Raw genomic sequence first — 21,282 nt, forward strand, 5'->3', positions numbered from 1 at the left:
TCAAGCAACTTGGCCTAATTGACATTTGTAGAAAACTATACCCAGTAGCTTCAGAATTCCTTTCATGAACACATAGAACATTCACCAAGCTATACCATATGCTAGGCTATAAAGTATATATATAAATTTCAAAAGATTAAAATCTTTCAGAGTATATTCTCTGAAAACCATGTAATTAAATTAGAAACCAACAACACCAGATACAAAAGCACCAGACATTAGTAAATCAAATAATACAGTTTCACTAAATATATTATAATACACTTTAAAAAATTTATTATAATAATTCATGAGTGAAAGGAGAAATCACAAGAGAAAATATAAAATATTACAAACCAAATAATAATGTAAATAGAACATATCATACCCCCTTTGTGGGATGCTATTAAAATAGTCCTTAGAACACTACTTAATAGTAAAAAGAAAATAAACTACTGATGCATACAACAGCATGAATGAATACCACAGACATTATCCTTTGTGAAAAAGTCAGACACTACTAGTGAGTACATTCTGTATGTTCTCAGTTATATGAAATTCTAGAACAGGCAAGACTAGCCTAACATGAAAAACAAAAGCAGAGCAATAACCATCTCAGAAATAAAGAGGCATTAACTAGGAAAAGACACATGGATCTTGCTGGGGAGATGAAATGCTCTATGTTGTGATACAGTCATTGGTTACACAGGTGTATCCATATGTCAAAACTGTACAGCTAAGATTTGTGCATTTCAGTTATGTAATTGTTATCTTAAAAACTGTAAAAAAAAAGGATGAGAATATTCAAGTGGGGGATGGGAAGGAGGTGAGGCATAAATGAAACAAGAACAGTAGAGTGTCGATAGTTGTTGAAGCTAAGTAATGGTACTTGAGGGTTTATTACACGACTCTGCCATTCCTTCTGCTTTAAAGATACATGTCCTTAGTTGCAAAAGGAGGAGAAACTGCTCTAATATCTCAAATACTGTACTACCACTAGATTATGAGCACTTTGAGAACATAAACTTTTTTTTTTTGAGGCAGGATCTTACACTGTTTCTCAGGCTGTAGTACCATAGTGTGATCACCTCATTGCAGCCTCAGCCTCCCACACTAAAGCAATCCTCCCACCTCAACCTCTCAAATAGCCTACAGGTGTGTGCCACCATGCCCAGCCAATTCTTAAGAAATTATTATTTGTAGAGACAAGGTCTTGCGATATTGCCCAGGCTTGTCTCGAATTCCTGGGCTCAAGCTATCCTCCAGCCTTGGCCTCCTAAAATGCTGGGGCTATAGGCATGAGCCACCACAACCAGCCTTGAACCATCTTACCCATGTTTTGTGCTTAGTACCAAGAACACTAAAGGACTACCCAACCAACTAATGACCCTTTAGTGGTAGGAATACACCTGTACCTGCCCCAATTTCAGATATGAAGCACCTAGGTTCCAAAGCATTTTTTTGTCTTTAACGCCTTTCTGGTGACTCCAAAATTATACTTTGAAGTAATTAATTAGACTCTCCCCTTGCTCAAAACACCATTTAAATTTAAACTGTCCCATTGTATGCTCAACTTGCATGCTGAAAGCATTTTATGTTAGTAGTTAGGAGATTGGGATCCTTGTTCTGACTGTGCCACTACAGAGCTGTGAGAACTTCAGCAAGTTCTTTCATCCCTGTGGTCTGAATGGAAAATGAGGGAGTGAGACTAAATGATTTCCCAGATCCCTTTCAGCTCTCAGTCTGGATGCCTCTATGTAGGGCGCTTTTGATTTCGCTGTCTGTGATGGACTCCTGTTCCTGTTCCTGAAGAGCTTTAGAATAGTTCTGTCCTGGAGAACAGAGCTCCTTTTAGTCCAAATGCAAATTATGAACATGAGCATGAGCATAAATGAGCAGCTGCTGTCTATTCACCCCACTGGACTGTGGCAAAGTGCTAAGAAGGCAAGGACATTCTGGTTTGATTACAGAATAAGACGCTGAAGATTTCACAATGAAAAATAATTAGTGTAACAGTTATGTATTGAGGTGTGGCAAAACACCCCAAAAGTTAGTGTCTTTAAACAACAACCGTTTTATTTGCTTACAATTCTGAGTTGGCATTTGGTTTAGATTTAGCTAGAAGTTTCTTCTGGTCTTGCCTAGAGTCACTCACAAATTGCAGTCGTCTAAAAGTTCACCTGGGCAGCATGGTCTAAGACAGCATAACTTGCATATCTGAATGTTGGTATTGCCTGTCGGGTCGTCTGTGTGTCTTCAACAGGCTAATCGAAGCTCCCTCATTTGACAACAGCATATCCACAGGGTTAGACTCCTTGAGCATAGCCTTGAATGTTGAAGGCTGCATTTCATTTCTCTGCATTCTATTGGTCAAGCAAGTTACAAGCCCAGCCCATATTCAAGGGGGAGGAGAAACAGTCTTCACCAATCGACAGGAGAAGTTGGCAGAGTGACACTGCAAGGAGAAGTGAGTTAGGGGACAGGAGGGATTTTGCAAACATCTTTGTGAGCAATCGGCCACACTCAATTACAGCACGAAGAAGTTGCCCAGTAAACACTTGTCTGAAGGATACATGTCCTTAGTTGCAAAGGCTTCGGGGGTTATTTCCTTTCCTAGAAGAGAGGAACAATGACACAGATCAAATGTCTTACTAATGGAAAATCAATTGAGTCACCATTGAGTACAAATTCTGGTACACCAGGGAGGGTGTGCGCGGGCGGCAGGGTTTGCTTTTGGTTTGCAGTAGCTCTGTCATTCTCCTTTGCTCCATGGATATAAAACATACTGACATGGAATGTCGACCCCATAATAACATCTTTAAAATGACAGTTACGTCTCTATAAGAGAAATACTAGAGGTGAGATTGTTACTTTCTTATCTTCATAAGTAAACAAAAAAATCTGTCAAATCAATTCAATAAATATGTATATAATGTCTATTTGGTGCCAGGAACAGTCCCTGAAAATAAAAATTACACTGAAAAAAGGTGTGTACCTCTTTCCCCGTGCCTGGCCCAGCCCAAACCAGGAGGCTTCATTAGACCCTTGACATGCAGAATATTTCTTACCGTTCTTACTGTTGCATCCTCAAGAATTATAACCACCAGCATTGGCTGCTTCAGCTACTCCACTTTTCAGATGAAAAGTTGTGGGCAAGACTTAAGCAGCAACTTGCTTTGAATGGTTGTGGCACATTTGCACATGCTGTTTCTTCTGAGCAAAATGACTCTGTCCTCTTTTCTGCCTGATTTGCTCTTCCAATGCATTCTTCAAGTCTTAGTCCAGTGCTTCCTCTCTGAAACCACACCCTAACCCAGCCTGCTGGTTGGTCATCTATTTTCCAGGCTCTTCGTAACCCTGGGCATATCTCCATATACACCCATCACACCTGCTATTACTATTGGTTGATGTGTCCATCTCTCCCAGGACTTTGAGCCCCTGCGACTAAGAATAGATATAGCTTTGTATTTATCTCTATAACTCTAGATAAATTCTCCATAAATGTTTGATAAATGATTTAAGAAATGACTGGAAGAAAAAGTAAATGAATAACAAGCCAAAGAGCAGTAGACAGCTTATGCTAACACTTTGAAGCTTACAGTGCAAACTGAACTCTGCCTCTCCTCTCAATGACTGAATCCATTCCACTTTGTTTCTGCCTCCCTCACTTTCTTATTCTAACAGATCTGAAGCAAATTTTAAAATCTATAATTAACTTTTTTTATATTACCCTCAAGGGATCATAGATCAATGACTTTCTAGAAAAAGAAAGATCCCCATTCTTACCTTTGCATAATCTCTTTTTAAAAAAAAACAAGAGATTACATTTCATGTTCAAATGCCTAAATTATCTCTTCTTAGGACACACAGCAATATTATCTCCCATTTTGACAATTGCCATTGGGTTTACTTCAATTGAAATGAAACATACTTTCATTGTAATTCTGCAAGCACACTGATGAAGTTGTTTACAATCAAGTATTAAAACTTATCTAGGGGCAGTTATGCTTAGCTAAACCTTTGGAATGTGCTAAGTCATGGTTAAGTTGTGCTAAGGGAAAGAATGCTGGGGAACTTATGCCAGTCTCTCAAGATGGCAGCCACAAAGCAGGCATTAGAGCCATAGAACTGAGGTAACTGACCCCGAGTTCAGTTATCACTAGTAAATCAGTCATAACAGTCAAAACAACCAAAAAATATGATAAATTTCCATGGAGCAAAGGGGAACAACAATCCCACTACAAATTTCCAACAATCAGATTTTCTTTCAAATAATAATATGGTAGCATGAAGAGCTAATGCTTTTGACAATCTAACAAAGAAAGTCCCTGAACTCCTTGGGAGAGACCTTATTGCACTCTTCTTTATGTCATCATCATCAAACATGACAGCTGCACTCATACAACATTCAATGCCTGATAAATATTTGTATTTCAGATAGGAGCATGTGTGTCAGAAATTATTTGGAACCTAAGTCCAATAGACACAGCTAATTAAATTATAAATGTGGAGCAAAGTGTGTTGGATGCTTTAAGAGCTTATATATACATGCAGAAATGAAAAGCAATGAAGAAGACAGAAAACCACATGGAACCAAATAAAAGGAAACAGTAAAGTTTCAAAGTGGTGCTTACTAGGTGTAATCTTTCTGAGGTTCCTCTGAGCAACTACCATTGTTTCATTCAATTTGATCTTCCCTAGTATGGTAATAAATAATGCCAGGAGTTCCTTATAAGGGTCGTTCTCAAACCTCACTAATTATCTCAATTATCTAAGGTTTTATATTTTGAGTCATGGTCTTACTCTGTTGCCCAGGTTGGAGTATAGTGGTGTGATCATAGCTCACTGCAGCCTCCAACCCCTGGGATCAAGTGACCCTCCCATCTCAGTCTCCCAAATCACTGGGACTATTGGTGTGAACTACCATACCCAGGTCTTAAAATATTTTTTAAACGTAAAGATTTCCAGCCCCATTTCAGACCCACTAAATGAGAGTCTACTAAGGAGGGGCCAGGAATCTGTATTTTTAAATATCTCCAGGTAATTCTAGTGATCAGCCACTTAGCAAATACCAGTGATTTTTAAAAAGAAAAAAAAAATTGTAAGATATACTGATAGGGGCTGAATTGTGTTGCCCTAAAATTCATATGTTGAAATTCTAACCTCCAATACCGCAGAATGTGACTGTGTTTGGAGACAGGGTTCTAAAGAGCTAATTAAGTTAAAATGAGTCGATTAAAGTGGGCCCTAATCCAATATGACTGGTGACCTTATAAAAAGAGAAAATTAGGACACAGAGCGATACAGTGGGAAGGTTGTATGAAAACAGGGAGAAGGTGGCCATCTGCAAGCCAAGAAGAAAAGCCTCAGAGGAAACCAACCCTGCTGGACTCTTGATAATGGGCTTCCAACCTCCAGAACTCAGAAAGTAAAATTCTGTTGTTTAAGCCATTCAGTCTGCAGTACTTTGTTATGGCAGTCCTGGCAGACTAATACATGTACCTCCATGGTTAATGATATGGTTTTGTTCTGTGTCCCTACCCAAATCTCACCATGAATTGTAATCCCCATAATCCCCACATGTCAATGGCGGGACCACGTGGAGGTGATTGGATCATAGGGGAGGTTTCCCCCATGCTGTTCTCCTGATAGTGAGTGAATTATCATGAGATCTGATGGTTTTATAAGCATCTGGCATTTTCCCTGCTTGCACTCACTCCATCCTGATGCCCTGTGAAGAAGGTGCCTGTTTCTCCTTTGCCTTCCGCCATGATCGTAAGTTTCCTGGGGCCTATCCAGCAATGCAGAACTGTGAGTCAATCAAACCTCTTTCCTTTACAGATTACCCAGTCTATGGTATTTCTTCATAGCAATGTGAGAATAGACTAATACAGTTAACTGGCACATCTGAAAAGCAAGAAAACATTGTGAAGGATGACCTGTGTGATAAAGAGACATTATCTTATATCCCAAAGGGAAAATAGTCCCTATTAAAATGGTTGATTAATTGTTACATTTTACTTCTAACTTCAATGGGGAGAGAAGTTGCTGAAGGAGAAGGGAAAGAGAGAAAAGAGTCTGAAAGTGAAAGGGAGTAACAAGTTGCTGGTAAAATGAGAGAAAGGAGCAACATTCAGGAAAATGAAAACCATATCCCTTAAGGAATGTACTATAATACAACGACATTCTGAGGAATCAGCATCCCCAGGAAAAACAATGAAAAGTAATGCCCAGGAGCACCTTTAGAAGTCATGGGGAATTTTATCTGAGTCTTTCCTTGCCAGAGGGAAAAGTTTTCTTTCTTTCACTTATTTCATCAACAACCATTTATAGGCTGCCTCCTACATCTTAGACACTAGGCTACAGCCTGGCTGTGCAAAGATGATCAACACAGGAGCTGTGCTATCTAAGAATGTCAGTCTAGAAAAAGCAGTTCTCTTTAAAAGCCTCCCTAAAGGTCCAATCCCAAGACACACTTAAACCTCCTTTAGAGATCTTAGGTTCTTCAATTCTTTATCTCTTTGTACAGCCCCCAGGTTCCCAGGCAGGAAATCCACAGCCAATTCCTGTTCCTAAGCACCCAGGAGGCAGGTGTGTTTCCAATTACTATGCTCTCTTCGGGCTATAATTAGGAAAAGTACCTCTCTGACATTTTGACTCTAGCACAGGGCCAGGCACATAGTAAGTACTCAATAAATATTTTTGGAATTAATTAATGCCTTAATCAAATCTATCAATCCTAGAAGCCCTCCTGGTGAGTCTGGTACCTTCCCCTCCCCTGCTCCCTAGACCTCTCCCAGAAGCAGCTTTGCCTTTTTGGAATCTCCCAGAAGAAGCTTCCTAAGGTAGTGTTGAGGAAATATAATTAAAAGCAAAACCCCCTCCCAGCCCAGAAAACCTCTCCACAAACATAATCAAGAAAGAAAACAATTTTACTATTGAATAAACATTAAACCAGAACGTAACGCGTATCACGAACAATTCACTGGAGAGATTGCAATGGTGAAAAGAAATCTTTCATAGAGCAAAGTGGATATAATCCATTACACTCATGTTTTCAAGAAAAAATCCCTAAGTTTATTGTATCATTATAACTAGAGGTAGGGGTTTGCCATTTCAAGTCGGGGAGAGTTGAAATTAGGCCCATTTTCTCCCAGGAAACTGAGAGATGAGGCCTTATCTTTTTTGACGATTACATTTCGAGAAGATGAGGAACATGAAGAAGCGTGTCAACCAATGTTGCCACAAGTCCATGAGGAAATATTCTTGAGTTGTGTCAACCAAAGAATTATGAGGTTTCCACATTTGGACAGGAGAACTTTATTTCTTATAAAAGGTTGCAGCCTCCAGGGTAACAATCCACAGCCTGGGAAGCATAACCTCCAGTAGAAGCAGAGAGGAAATGGTGACACAGGAATTTAGGCCAAATGGGTTGGCTAAGCATACATATTCATCAGATTACAGGAGGAGCAATAAATATTCATGAAAGAGGGCATGCATGTATGCATGCATAGTAAACTAACATGCATGTCACATACATCCGAGGTTCACTTTTTGGTGGATACTTAACATTTAAATGCATTAAAATTAGGCTATACACATTATAAGGTGAAATGGAGGACACAGAGGCATCCAGTACATAGACTCCACAAACTGGCCAAAACCAGTTCATGGTTAGTGGTCTCTTATCAGGAAAACATGCTGGTTGATTGTTGGGTCAAAACTGCAAAAATGGAGGGGAGTCCACTGAGTCTTTTGAAATGGCTGGTTTCTGTTAAATCCTTAGGAAAGAAGGTTTAATGGCAGGTACTGAGGGAGAAAGTATAATGAAGCATATCCAACCTCCCCCATAATGGGCCAAAACTCAGTTTTTAAGGCTTCTCTGGGGTCTCCTTGGCTAAGAGGGGGTGGATTCAGTCAGTTGGAGGGTTTAGGATTTTATTTGTATTTCTCAGGTGTAAAACTCACAAGATGTTTATTTAGCACTTGACCTTAATAGTGGCAAGGCAGTCCAGTCCTCCTGGAACACCATACTCATCAGCATCTCTTTGAGACTGGCCTACCCTCTGAACAGGAATGCACAGAAGCTGCCCGCTGGGACTGCAGGTGCTCTGTTAGCCAGGTCTCCTGGCCATGGCACTGTGCTTTAAGGCCAATTCTTGGGACAGAAAGGTGAAACTTCTTTCTGTAAACCCATTTGGTAAACCCTTTGACCTTGAACATTAAGCATCAAAACACTCAAAGCACAGACTTTGAAATTACACAGACCTCTGCTAAATTCCAGACTACTTCATCTGTGTTGTCTGATCTTGAGCTAATTGGTTGGTTAATTTTTCCAAGACTCAATGTCCTTGTCTATAATAGGGAGATAATATCTTCCACAGAGAGCACAGCTGAAGAGTTGTTAAGTGCTCTTATTACTACAATTGAAGCAAGAAAGTAAAGAAGTTTGGTGCATACACTCTGAACCCAAATGCCTGGCTTTCATCCCAGATCCACTTTTGGCAAAATCACTTTTCCTGTTCCTTAGCTTCCTCTAAGTAAAGTTGTTTAGAAGAATTGCTAGCCCACATAAGAATTTAATAAGTGTTGGCTATTATTTTATTTTTTTCACCTTCATCTCCATTTTGCCAATGGAGATTGGAGAATTGTTTCAAGTCTCTTTCATTTTTTAAACTAAGTAGAATCATTTGAATTGCAAGGTCTGTAGACAAATTATTATCCAGATTAAATTCATTTAAAAGCAAAGGGAAATAATTTGAAAACCTAAAGAAGCATGAAATTCCAAACTGCAGTAGAGAGAAGGCCTCTGGTTATTATCCCTGTTTAATACTTATTGTTTTCCCTCTTTATCTTTTTCTTTTCTTGGCAGTTTCTGAATTAAAAGAGAAAGGCTTAGCCTTTCATGTCTATTTAATACTTATTTAACAATTTACATGGCTTTTAAGAACCAACCACATCCCCAGCAGGAGAGTTACTCTAATTGCTCTCCAAATGTGTAACAGTCATCATTCTTTTCTGTTACTAGGCTAAGATCAGATCTGGGGGCACAGTTCAGTTAAATAAATCACCCTAATCAAATCAACTCTAACAATTGATAAACTAGCATATTAGGTAGAGTATTTTTAAAGATCTACATTGATTGATCAAATGCAAACTATTTATCTTTGTTTAAGCTAAATATAAATCAAAGTTCTAATGCCTTTTATAGTGTCTACTGAGACAGAAATGAACTGTCTTTCCATCTCAAAATAATGCAGCATCCTAGACTTAATCATGATTAAAATTGTCCCCAGATTTGATATGGGTAAATAATAAGTCAGATCACGGCAAAAGGGTGCAGCAGATGAATAATGAATATCATTTTTGGTGCTATAGTCCAACAGAAGACTGTTTAATCTTTCACTTTTCAGCCAGCTGTGTTTACATTCACTTTCTAGGATTGGCCCCATATAGATTTCGATCCTATATCTGCCATTTACTAGCTATGTCAATTTGAGCCAACCAATTAAGCTCTCTGGCCTCAGATTTCTATTCTATAAACTATGGATGATGATACCTTTCTCAGATGGTTATTATTTTGGGGATTAAATATGATAGTGTGTGTAAACTGTGTTCCCAATCATTGTGCCCACTTTAGTCCTATATAACCTGTATGACTAATAGCCTCACTTCAGCAAACATTGTTTCCCTTCCCTCTACCTCCCCCTCCAGATAAAGGCTCTATTTGTCAGCCCCAGACCACAGATCCAATGCTATCTTCCCAACTCTGTAGAAAAATAATTTAATTCCAACTCATTCTTCGGATCCTCACTTTATCCTACTTCTTCCTGTCAACCTAAAAGGAAGAAGCTAAGGCAAAATTAATATAGAGAGTTTAAAATCAGTAGCATTTCTATACCCCAACAACATCCAAGCTGAGAGCCAAATCAAGAATACAATCACATTCACAATAGCCACAAAAAGAATAAAATACCTAGGAATACAGCTAACCAGGGAGATGAAAGATCTCTACAAGAATTACAAAACACTTCTCAAATAAATCAGAGATGACACAAACAAATGAAAAAACATGCCGTGCTCATGAATAGAAAGAATCAACATTGTTAAAATGGCCAGACTACCCAAAGCAATTTATAGATTCAGTGCGATTCCTATCAACTACCAATGACATTCTTCACAGAATTAGCAAAAGCAATTTTTTTTGAGATAGGCTCTTACTCTGTCACCTAGGCTGAAGTACAGTGGTGCAATTGGCTCGCTACAGCCTCGACCTCCCAAGCTAAATCAATCCTCCCACCTCAGCCTCCTGAATAGCTTAGACTACAAGCACACACCACTATGAATGGCTAATTTTTGTATTTTTTGTAGAGATGGGGTTTTACCATGTTGCCCAGTCTGGTCTCAAACTCCTGGGTTCAAGTGATCCGCCCACCTCAGCCTCCCAAAGTGTTGGGATTAAGGGCATGAGCCACCATACCCAGCCAGAAAAAGCAATTTTAAAATTTGTATGGAACCAAAAAAGGGCCCAAATAGCCAAAGCAATCTTCAGCAAAAAGAACAAAGTTGAAAGCATCACGTTATCCAACTTCAAACTATACTACAAGGCTATAATAATCAAAACAGCATGGTACTGGTACAAAAACAGACACATAGACCAATGGAACAGAATAGAGACTGCAAAAATAATGCTACACACCTACAACCATCTTATCTTCAACAGTCAACAAAAACAAGCAATGGGGAAAGCAGTCCCTATTTAATAAATGGTGCTGGGATAACTGGCTAGTCATATGCAGAAGATTAAAACTGGAGCCCCTTCCTTACATCATATACAAAAATCAATTCAAGATGGATTAAAGAATTATATGTAAAACCCAAAACTATAAAATCCTAGAAGATAACCTAGGCAATATCATTCTGGACATAGGCCCTGGCAAAGATTTCACAACAAAGATACAAAAAGTAATTCCAACAGAAACAAAAATTGACAAATGAGGCCTAACTAAAGAGCTTCTACAAAGCAAAAGAAACTATCAATGGAGTAAACAGACAACCTACAGAGTGGAAGAAAATATTTGCAAACTATGCATTTGACAAAGGTCTAATATCCAGAATATATAAGGAATATAAATGAATTTACAAGCAGAAAACAACCCCATTAAAAAGTGGGCAAAGAATATGAACGGTTTTCAAAGAAAGACATATATGCAGCCATGAAAAAGATGCTCAAAATAACTAAATATTGGAGAATGCAAATCAAAACTACAATGAGATACCATCTCACATTAGTCAGAACGGCTATTATTAAAAAATAAAAAAATAACAGGTACTGGCAAGGTTGTAGAGAAGAGGGAATTCTTATACACTGCTGGTGGGAATGTAAATTGGTTCAGCCATTGTGGAAAGCAGTGTGGCAGTTTCCCAAAGAACTTAAAACAGAAGTACCATTCAACTCAGCAATTCCGTTACTGAGTATATACCTAAAGAAATATAAATAATTCTACCATAAAGATACATGCACGCAAATGTTCATCGCAGCACTATTCACAATAGCAAAGATGTGAAATCAACCTAAGTGCTTATCAATGGCAGATTAGATAAAGAAAATGTGGTACAAATAAACTATGGAATACTATACAGCCATAAATAGAGACAAGATCATGTCCTTTAGAGCAACATGAATAGAGCTGCAAGCTGTTATCCTAAGCAAACTAATGCAGGAACAGAAAACCAAATACCACAGGTTTTCACTTATAAATGGGATCTAAACATTGAGAACATGGACACAAAGAAGAGCACAACAGACACTGAGGCCTACCTGAGGGTGGAGGGTGAAGGGTGAGAGGAGGGAGAAGATTAAAAAACCACCTGTCAGGTACTATGCTTATCACCTGAGTGATGAAATAGTCTGTACACCAAACCCCTGTGACACACAATTTACCCATATAACAAACCCGCACATGTACCCCTAAACAGAAATAAAAGTTAAAAAAAAAAAAAGAAAGAAAGAAAAGGAAAGGAAAGGGGGAAAAAAATGTAGACAGTTTATCTGGGCCAAGCTTGAGGACTGCAATCCAGGAGCACAGTTTCAAATTGCCCTGAGTATACACTCTGATTAGCAGCAGTTACAAGTGGATTTTTAAAGGGAAAGAAGAGGCAGTTCCAGAGTTGTTTACCAAAAATTCACATTATAATGACATTATTGATTGGCTACGCATTGTTAAGCTGTAGAACGCCGGTTATAGTGTACTGGGTGGCATTATTAGGTTAATTTTTAGTTACTTGTGGCAATAACAAGCAGTTTCAAAAGCTGAAAACATAGCCCAAAAAAGAGGAGAGTAGGACATGATTGCTGTTTCATTTTAATGCCTCTCTGGGCCTGATAATTTCAATGGACTCACATAATTTTCTTATTCCATTGTCCTGTTTTTTTCCAAACTGAAACTATCTCCCCTTTCTTTGAATCCCTCTATAGCTGTCATTTTCGTACCATTCACAGTACACGCCATGTTCTGCTAGCGGTCCATTTTTCTTAGTCTCTTCTGTCTCTACTACTAGATCTTTGAGAGTTTCACTGGTCTAGCATGGTGCCTTAGTCACAGTTTGCCTGCCTCTGAGTTCCTCTGAAAGCGAACCCCAAGGCAACCCTGGGTTAGGTAGTTTATTGGGAACATGATCCCAGGAAGTGCAAGTGGGGAGATCAAGGCAAAGAAGGGAGGAAGGCCAATAGTGTGTGCATCAGTGAGTCGATGGCCACTGTGGGCAGATGAGGACCCTATGGGAAGCATCCTTCAGAACTGTTCCACCAAGGGATACAGAAGCTGCAGTATTTATTCACAAACTCTCATACCTCATTGATTAAGTGTTGCCCCTGGAGCATCCATTTCCAGCATTGCCAGCAGCCCTGCACATGGCTGAGGGAGCTCTTTTTGTTGCAGGGAGAGAAACAAAGAGCCATGGACAGGTAAGAGGGGAATCTACCAGTGTACCCTAGAGCTCTCTGCTGTAGCTGCAGGTGAACTTAGGGTTGGTTACCCATGCCATCTACTGTAGAGTTCAATAAAAATCTAGTTAGTATTGAATGACTGGAAAAAATAAATATTTCAGAAACACTGCTTATTTCTCAACACAAAGTCACATATCTGGAAGAGTTACACCTATTTCTTTTTATACCACTATTCTATTTAACCCGTTTACTACACAGTGTTTAAGGACCAATTCTGGAATGTTCTAGAATACAGATCATGGCTATTTTGCTCCCTGGTTCTGTTTGGGAGACTGTCGAAATCCCTGGGTATTGCTGTAAAAGACAAAAGGCAATGTAGCAAATAGCTATCAAGAAGCTTTCTCAAACATTTCTCAAATATTCTTTACAAAACATAGAGTGACTTGTCCAGGTTTAAATAGTAAGTCAGTCCTCAGGCTGGAAAAACAACTTGGAATTTGTCAAGTTTTCCAAAAGCCCAATCAAGAAAGGCAGGTAATTAACCACTCACACAGCCCACATCCGGGACCCTCCACCTAACTAACCATTCCATCTGTGCTTCTATCGTGTTTTCTTTACTCCTGCAAATACCATGACTTTATGTTTCCACAGAGCTGTTATTCCAGGAGAACCACGGGTAGTACAAACAACTCTGTGATTCTAAATAACTTCTCTTTGTCCCTCACTGCTTTTCCCAAACACCGTGGGTGGTAAAAGTAAAGGCCCATAATTTTAATGCCAACATGTAATATTTTTAATCAGGCTACAGAATTCACACAGGAATTTCTTGGGGGAATGGCAACCTTTGCATCTTACATTTTTCCACATTAATAATGATAAGATTAGCCTAAAATCAACTAATAAAAAAGGTAAGAGCAGTAATAGAAGCCAGAATTGCTTATTAATTCTTATCAATTCCAGTCATGTTGTTTTGCAATGTCTTTAACACCTTAAATTAGAGCAAACTTTCCCAGATCAGGCTCAGAATCTTCAATGAAGCATTAAAATTTGACCAGAGCTTAGTGCAGAGCCCTACTCAGAAAGAGGGCTTAATAAATAGGAACAACTCTGGGAAGATTGTGTATATTCTCAAGACTGACAACTAAACCAAAAATGACAATCTCCAGTGAGATTTATTTCAGGACAAAATAAAGGTCTGAAGTTTCCTTGGGATTAAAATTTTTAATTGTTCCTGCCTAAAATGTTTCTTTCAAAAAAAAAAAAAAACTGGATTAGGGCACTAAGCTTTATTTAGGTAAACTGTGATCTCCTACCAATTTTATTCACAAATATAAAACAGCCTGAGTAGCGCCAAATATTCTCAGTACCCAAGTTTTACAGCTACCTTCCAAGAACAGAATTTTCAAAGCCACATGAAAACCAGCAAGCTCAGGCCTTTTGGTTGTGTACATTTTTAAGAAGCAGAAGAGAGAGGGACGAGGACCTGAGAGCACAAAGAGAGTAAAACAAAAACAAAGTTTAGTACCAGATGCAGACTCAGGAAGGCCTGAGCGCTATCCAAGTGGGAGTTTTGAGTGATCCTCAGCAACTGTGAGGACCTTTGAAAGGTTTAAAAATATAAATTGTGGCCACTAAAAAAAATATGTTCACAGCTGCTTCAGGAATAAAATAGTATATATTGCACTGAATAGACTCAGACCCTTACACACAGCAGACTTTCACCTTGTGGGTCCTTTTCTATTTCCTCGGGGGCAAACAGGAAGTCATTTCTGTCCTTGCTCTCAAAGTGGTTACAGCCTAGCTGGGGACTGAACTGAAACATACAGGAAAAGAAAGTGAACCCCTCCAAACAATCCCAGCCTGGAGGACTTTCAGACTAGACACACCTAGAGGGAAGGGGCCGAGTCAGTTGCTCACCCAGACTTTCCAGTCTCTGAGGGAGCCTGACTCCCCTTAATTGCCAGTTAACTGAGAACCATTTCCCTACCAATGAGGACCCTAGTGTGCGTGTCATGAGAGTTTTCTTTTGACAGTGCAGTTTAAGTGCTAAATAAACAACTGCTTTTATTCATTGTTATTACTATTTGTATTTGCTTCCTTCATTAGCAGTATCTTCCTAGAGGAAGAACTTCCTGGAGGTTAGGAAAATGCCCTGTGACTCCCACCTGGAACTGAAATCCACTTTCCTACTGTTGTAAATAGAACTTAGGGGATACTGAATACTAATTAAATGTTATTATTTGCCATCAGACTACAACTATAACAGATAATGTTCTTTGAGACACTGAAACCAGAATTCCTGACAAGGTCAACTTTACAGCTGGTTGGCAGACACACAGGAAACATTTGGAGCCACATCCTTGATTACTAGTGTCTACCAATGGTTAATAGGAACCAGACTGGTGAAATAGGCAACATGTGCTCAAAGTCACCCAGAGGAGGGGACAACACAGAGGCTGAAACCCAGGCCCCATCTTGCCCCAGGACAAAACCCTGCTTCTGTGACTACAACCACAGCCTTAGTTTTCTTTGCATGAAAAAGCCTCTAGGGGCCAAGGCCATGGTCCAGGGGGCTGTGCTGCTTACAGGAGGAAACTTTCTCTAGTTCCTCTGTCCTGAGAAGGCACAGAGAATTAGGTGAACCTGGCTCAAGTCTCCCAATTGCACCATCTTGAATGAGCCTTGTATTCTTCCTGTGAAAGATGTAACATCAAGATACCTTCATTTGCTCTAGCTTCTGTACAGGGGTTCCACTGTACACCAACCCAGAAGCAAGATCTACCCCTCTTATTTTCCACAAGAAGAAAGCCAGTCTCGTGAGCACATCATAATCATGGTTGTTGGGTTGAAGATGAGTGACCTTGGGGGTAAGGGTACTTTCCACAGGACAACCCAGGGCCCAGCTCTCCTATTTTTCTTGCAGAGCCAGCCCCATACCCGGGCCCTGGTCTCCAAAAGCCCTAGCCCAGCCATCACCCTGTCCACTGCACAGCAACTTTGGGAAGGCCTGTCCAGCCCTGTCCTCAGCCTGCTTCTCTCCCATGGGCCAGCCCTTGTCCTTTCCAGTCCTTTCCAGAATTCTAGTGAATAAGATGTCTCCACACAAATGAATAATTCAGTAAGCACGTGGCGCGTAGCTGACACTTACCAAATATTGGTGGAATATGCAAGGGAGGGAATGAATACATGAACAATTGGAGCCTCGTCATGTGTATTACCTAAGAAAGCTGAATTCCGGGTTGAGGTGGAATCGAGTGTTTCTGCAGCCTCTTTCAAAATAGACAAGTCAGCACAAGGCATCTGGCTCCTCAGCAAACTTCCTAATCATAGGAAATAAAAGGTTATATGGCACAGAGGTTACCTACAGGCTGGAATGTTTTCTAAACAAAAGAATAAAACACCGTGCCTGTGAAGGAAAAGCAAAGCTAGAGCCAGGAGCCAGGGAAGGGTCCTTGGTAAAGAAGACTAGAGTGTCATGCCTTTGACAAGGAAAGAGAAGGCCAGCAGACCAGATGCCTGTCACTGAAGCAAGTCCCCTTCCTGCTTCACTAGACCCCCATGGCCAGCCTTGTAACAAGGCACAGAGACGTGGCTTTAGCTGTGAATCGTCACATTCAAGGAATGTACATCTCCAACTCCAAAAAGAGCCTGCCTCCCTGACTTCACTGAACAGCAAGTCTCTGCTTTCCTCAAAGTCTCAGCCTGGGCAGGAACAAGCTATTCTCACACCTCCAGTTGCAGCCCCTAAAACATCATCTCTATCTCTTGGCACAAAGAGAAATGGTAAAAATATCCACTTCACACCATAAGACTGTTTGCCAGAAAGAATAGAGTTTTACCCACCCTTCATTAAGTATGTTTTCAAATGTTACTCTTTCCCTCTCTGCTGGGTATGAGTGAATCACATCCTCAGGAAATACCACTGGGTATGTAAATTAGCACTCTGGAATGTCTTAAGACATGAAGTTAGTTCAGCTGACTCCCTGGTTGTATGTGGCTTTGAAATGAACACTTAAAGCCTTTAAACAGGTATGACCTTGTTTATGAATTATGTTATGAATTAGTATTCAAGGTGGGTAATGTTGGTGCTCAGGTGTTTGTCCAGGTAAAAGGCAAATCAGCTTAATGTAAAGCCCTTACTCCACGGTTTTGACACACGTGCTATTGCCTAAATGAATGAATCTTGCGGACCACTTCTAAGGCTGGTGAATGAAGTCAAAGAAGTCAAAGCAGGGGGGGACCCAGCTTTAGGAAATAGCATGGCTTATGTTACCCTTAAACCACTTTTGTTTTAAAAGAAAGATAATAGGGACCTAACAAAGAGAGGCTGTGTGTCCTTAGAGCACCTTTTATCAATGTACCAGGAAAAAGAGGTTAAGAACTCTGAATCTGGAGGTTGTCAGGCCTCTGAGCCCAAGCTAAGCCATCATATCCCCTGTGACCTGACGTATACATCCAGATGGCCTGAAGCAACTGAAGATCTACAAAAGAAGTGAAAATAGCCTTAACTGATGACATTCCACCACTGTGATTTGTTTCTGCCCCACCCTAACTGACCAATGTACTTTGTAATCTCCCCCACCCTTAAGAAAGTTCTTTGTAATTCTCCCCATGCTTGAGAATGTACTTTGTGAGATCCACCCCCTGCCCACAAAACATTGCTCCTAACTCCACCGCCTATCCCCAAACATGTAAGAACTGATGATAATCCCACACTTGGCTGACTCTCTTTTCGGACTCAGCCCGCCTGCACCCAAGTGAAATAAACAGTCTTGTTGCTCACACAAAGCCTGTTTGGTGGTATCTTCACACGGACGCGCATGACAGAGGTAACTTTAAGAGAAGGAACAATATAATCCTTGTATGTTCAAGCTATTTGCTCCTGTGTTCCAGCCTTGATGGAAGAATCGGGCATCACTGTGGGGGCGGTGAGTCAAGCTGGCTGGCAGTGCTTCAGGAAATCGGGTGTGAGGCCTGTCTATGCTATGCAAATAAATAATACTCCCAGACGGAGGCAGGATTTTCATTCAATCTTCCGGAATTTGTATGAATCTTAGACCTAAAAATGATGGGCAATGAAGCTGAGTCACAGTATAATCTGAGTGGATCCTATAAACTCAGTTACTTCACTCTGTCTTTTGCTTGTATCAGCCCAGAGAGATCTTACTGCAAACCTAGCTGAAGGGCTCTCAGAAACCAGAACACAGGAGCTCATTTGTGCTTCCGAGTTGATGGAAGGGAATCACAGGTGTCAGTCTTGATTGGGCACAGAGAAAACTCACACCAAGTTACAAGAGGAAATTTCATTTGTTTCTCTAAGATAAAACAATACATCCCTCCAGATGCTAATTTATAAAATGTCATTGCACTCAATGTTTTTTCAGTCCAATTCAAGCTTGTGGCTATGAATTCAAAATAAACAGAGCTGATCTGGGGAGCCACAAAGCTTTGCAGAGAAAAACAAACATCAGTTATTGTTAAGGGAAAAACCACACACATCTTTGCCTCAAATCAGAAGAAAGGTGAGGCTAAAAGCCAAGTGGTTTAACGTTTGAAAACTTCCTTTTTCTAAGGGCGTGTTTGTTTTAATAAGTTAATACTTGATATGCCTGTGCAAAGTCCAGGATGGACAACTGCCCCAACTCTAACCAGACAATGTCTCCTCTGTGGGCCAACCCTGATTCTGACTTGGGGAAATCTGGGGGCTGGGGAAGCCCTGCTCTGTGCAGACAACCTCCAAAATCCCTCCTGCTTTCTGGCCTTTCTCCACCTGAACTGCCCACTCCAACACAACTTTATCCACTTGTTCTCTTCAGCAAGAAACTCCTTCACAGAGAAACCACCAGCCCATTCAGCCCCTTTGTGGGGAATATGAAAATGCACCTCACAGCACCACTGACCCAGGGTGCCTCTGAGAGGCAGGGAGCACCCTGTAGCGAGCCAGGTAGGGCTCCTCTCCCCTCAGAGGGTTACAGCCTACACACACATGAGCCATGCCCCATCCTCATTCTCCCCCTACTCTAGATCGAAACCCAGCTTAGGAACCACCTTCAGCATGTCCCATGTCATCTGGAGCTTCATCACTTCCAAAGAGCCCCGGTGACAACTTCCTAATCTCATCCTGGCTAGAATGCTGATAAAAATGTACTAAGGGGAAAACCCAAGCCTGGGCCCTTCTTGCTCAGACCTTTTTTTCTATGTTGTTCCTTTTTAATTCTAAAACAATGCCTGTTTATTGTGCAAAGCCTAGCCTACCTCTTTTTAATTTGGGATCAAAATTAAATAGAAACTTTGGGCTTTTTTGTGTAATAGATCATACTTATTTTCCCATGACATTAAAAACTTTTTTGAAACATAATGACAGCATAATATTCCCTTGCATAGAAATACCTTAAGAGTCCCCCTGACACTGACTGTGATATGTTCATTTATGCATTACCCATTATTGCCTGTGATTTGGGGTTTTAGCCATTGTAGGAAAAGGCAAGGAGTGATTAAACCCTTCTTAAGTTATCCTATTCTGTTTCTGTCTGGGGCCCTGACTGACACAGCAAAAATGTGCAAATGCAAATGCCCCTTTAATTATAGCAGGACTGTGTGATACACCTACAAGCAGGGCAAGCCCCAGGTTTCACAGACCATTTTGCTTTTTTCCAGTCCTTTGAGTCCTAGAAAAACAAGTTAGAGAATGTGTCAGCCCATGATACACACTGTGTGGATGGGACAAATGATGTGCTCTACAAGCACATGGGAAGGACAGGGGCAACTAATGGATTCCACAGGAGATGGAACCCCTGAGGCCACATCCCTGAGGGTAGGAAACATTTCAGTGGCGTGAGACAGCCCGCACCTGGATCAGAGAGCCTCTCTGCCCATATTAAACAAGATCAGACACAGCCTGCGACTTGCAGCCTGTTCTGTCAACACAACAACTTCTACCAAAGGTAGGTATGTGAGATCCAGCACTTCATTTATTCATTTGACAAATGTTTGTTGAATATTTGTTGATTTACTATCCTCTACGTGCCAGATCATGTTCTAAGTGATGATCTCATTTTCCAGCATGCCTTTCGTCTTGGTGGTACTAAAAGCAAGTGTCTCTCTCTCACACACAGACACACACATCATCATCATCATCATCATCATCATCATCATCTTTGGTTCCCACCTTGAAAACCACATCTTTCATCTTCCACTACTCAGGACTCTTCCTCCTCATGAGTTTTCTGTAAGATACCCAATATCCCACTCTGGCAAACTCCTAACTTTCATCCATCTCATTTCCTCACTCCCATAGGACCTTCCCTTCCACCCCATACAGACATGGGGACTTCAATCCTCCATTTATTTCCATTCATCTTTTCCCTCCTGGATCTCCTCCATTCCTTGCTACTGCCCCAGTTTCCTAACTGGCCTCCCTGTTTTCAGTGTCTCTGAAATTCAAATCATTCTCCACCCTGCCATCAGAGGATGTATCTAAAATTACCTCTGCTCATACTGCTCCCCAAAATCTTAGCAAAGCATAAACATCTTGAACTCGCTCCCCTTCTTCAAACTTGACGTGATCCCTGAGGCCTCAGCAACTGTGGCTCCTGTGTTCTCCTGCCCATGGTGTTCTTTTCTCTCCCTGCTTTGGTGACTTCCCATTTGACCATACAATTCCAGTCTGTCATCACCTCATCCTGGTGGGTGAGGCTGAGGAAGAACTTAAAAGAGAAGAAATATTTATAGAGGGAGGATTTTATGTTTCTCTTGCAAGTTGAGCCCTCTCCTACAGATCACCTACATTGGCTAATGCTGCTCTTGTGGGCACAGAGTCTTCCAGAAATAACCATGATAGGTGTGAGGTTTTGCCCCTAGCCAGCACAGGTTGACATGACATGTTCCCAGGGCAGAAGACAAGTGACCCAGTTGGCTCTGCTGCATCGCTACAACCAGCACCCTGGTTCTCAAGCCCACCGTCATTTGCTACATACTGGGGCAACTCTTCTCTACCTGAAAATGCTTCATGGATTTGTTTGCTTGTTTATTGTATGCTTTCCCCACTAGAGCAGGGTCTATCATTTATTTATTTATAGCACTTAGAACACTTTCAGAAACATAGTGGTTCGATGAATGTTGCCTAAATGAAGGCAGAAGGAAAGTCTCCTAACTCTTCATACAATCACTAAGTCATCTGTGCTCCAGGCTGGAGAGGCCAGGGAAATTTGGGTTAGATACTCAAGTTCAAATCAGACCACATCATTTTGCTTCTCAGAAGTTTCAAATGCTCCTGGGCTTCTAACTGGCAATGGTGGAAATGCTACCTCTTAAAATGCAAACCTCTTAACAGGGCAGGGGAAGGTCCTTGCTCT

General features: G+C 40.7%; 1 long non-coding RNA gene across 2 annotated transcripts, besides 1 other annotated feature; it reads right to left on the reverse strand.

Moving 5' to 3' along the window:
• Positions 1–253: 253 nt before the first annotated feature.
• Positions 254–17,837, reverse strand: LINC02535 (long intergenic non-protein coding RNA 2535). Of its 2 annotated transcripts, NR_134633.1 has the most exons (4): positions 17,712–17,837; positions 17,290–17,409; positions 16,147–16,248; positions 254–2,592 (listed from the first exon to the last, which is right to left on the reverse strand). It is a non-coding gene; the product is annotated as a long intergenic non-protein coding RNA 2535 (long non-coding RNA). The 2 variants fall into 2 exon arrangements; NR_134634.1 differs by lacking the exons at positions 16,147–16,248; positions 17,290–17,409; positions 17,712–17,837 and adding an exon at positions 3,048–3,221.
• Positions 16,164–16,956: an enhancer, noted in NCBI's record as "NANOG-H3K27ac hESC enhancer chr6:86112847-86113639 (GRCh37/hg19 assembly coordinates)". NCBI's record gives its function as "activates a minimal SCP1, AML or CMV promoter by ChIP-STARR-seq in primed H9 embryonic stem cells {active_cell/tissue: H9 hESC(primed)}" and the evidence as "EXISTENCE:reporter gene assay evidence [ECO:0000049][PMID:30033119]".
• Positions 17,838–21,282: the final 3,445 nt, after the last annotated feature.

The sequence above is a fragment of the Homo sapiens genome, chromosome 6, assembly GCF_000001405.40.
Source record: "Homo sapiens chromosome 6, GRCh38.p14 Primary Assembly".
NCBI lineage: Eukaryota > Metazoa > Chordata > Mammalia > Primates > Hominidae > Homo > Homo sapiens.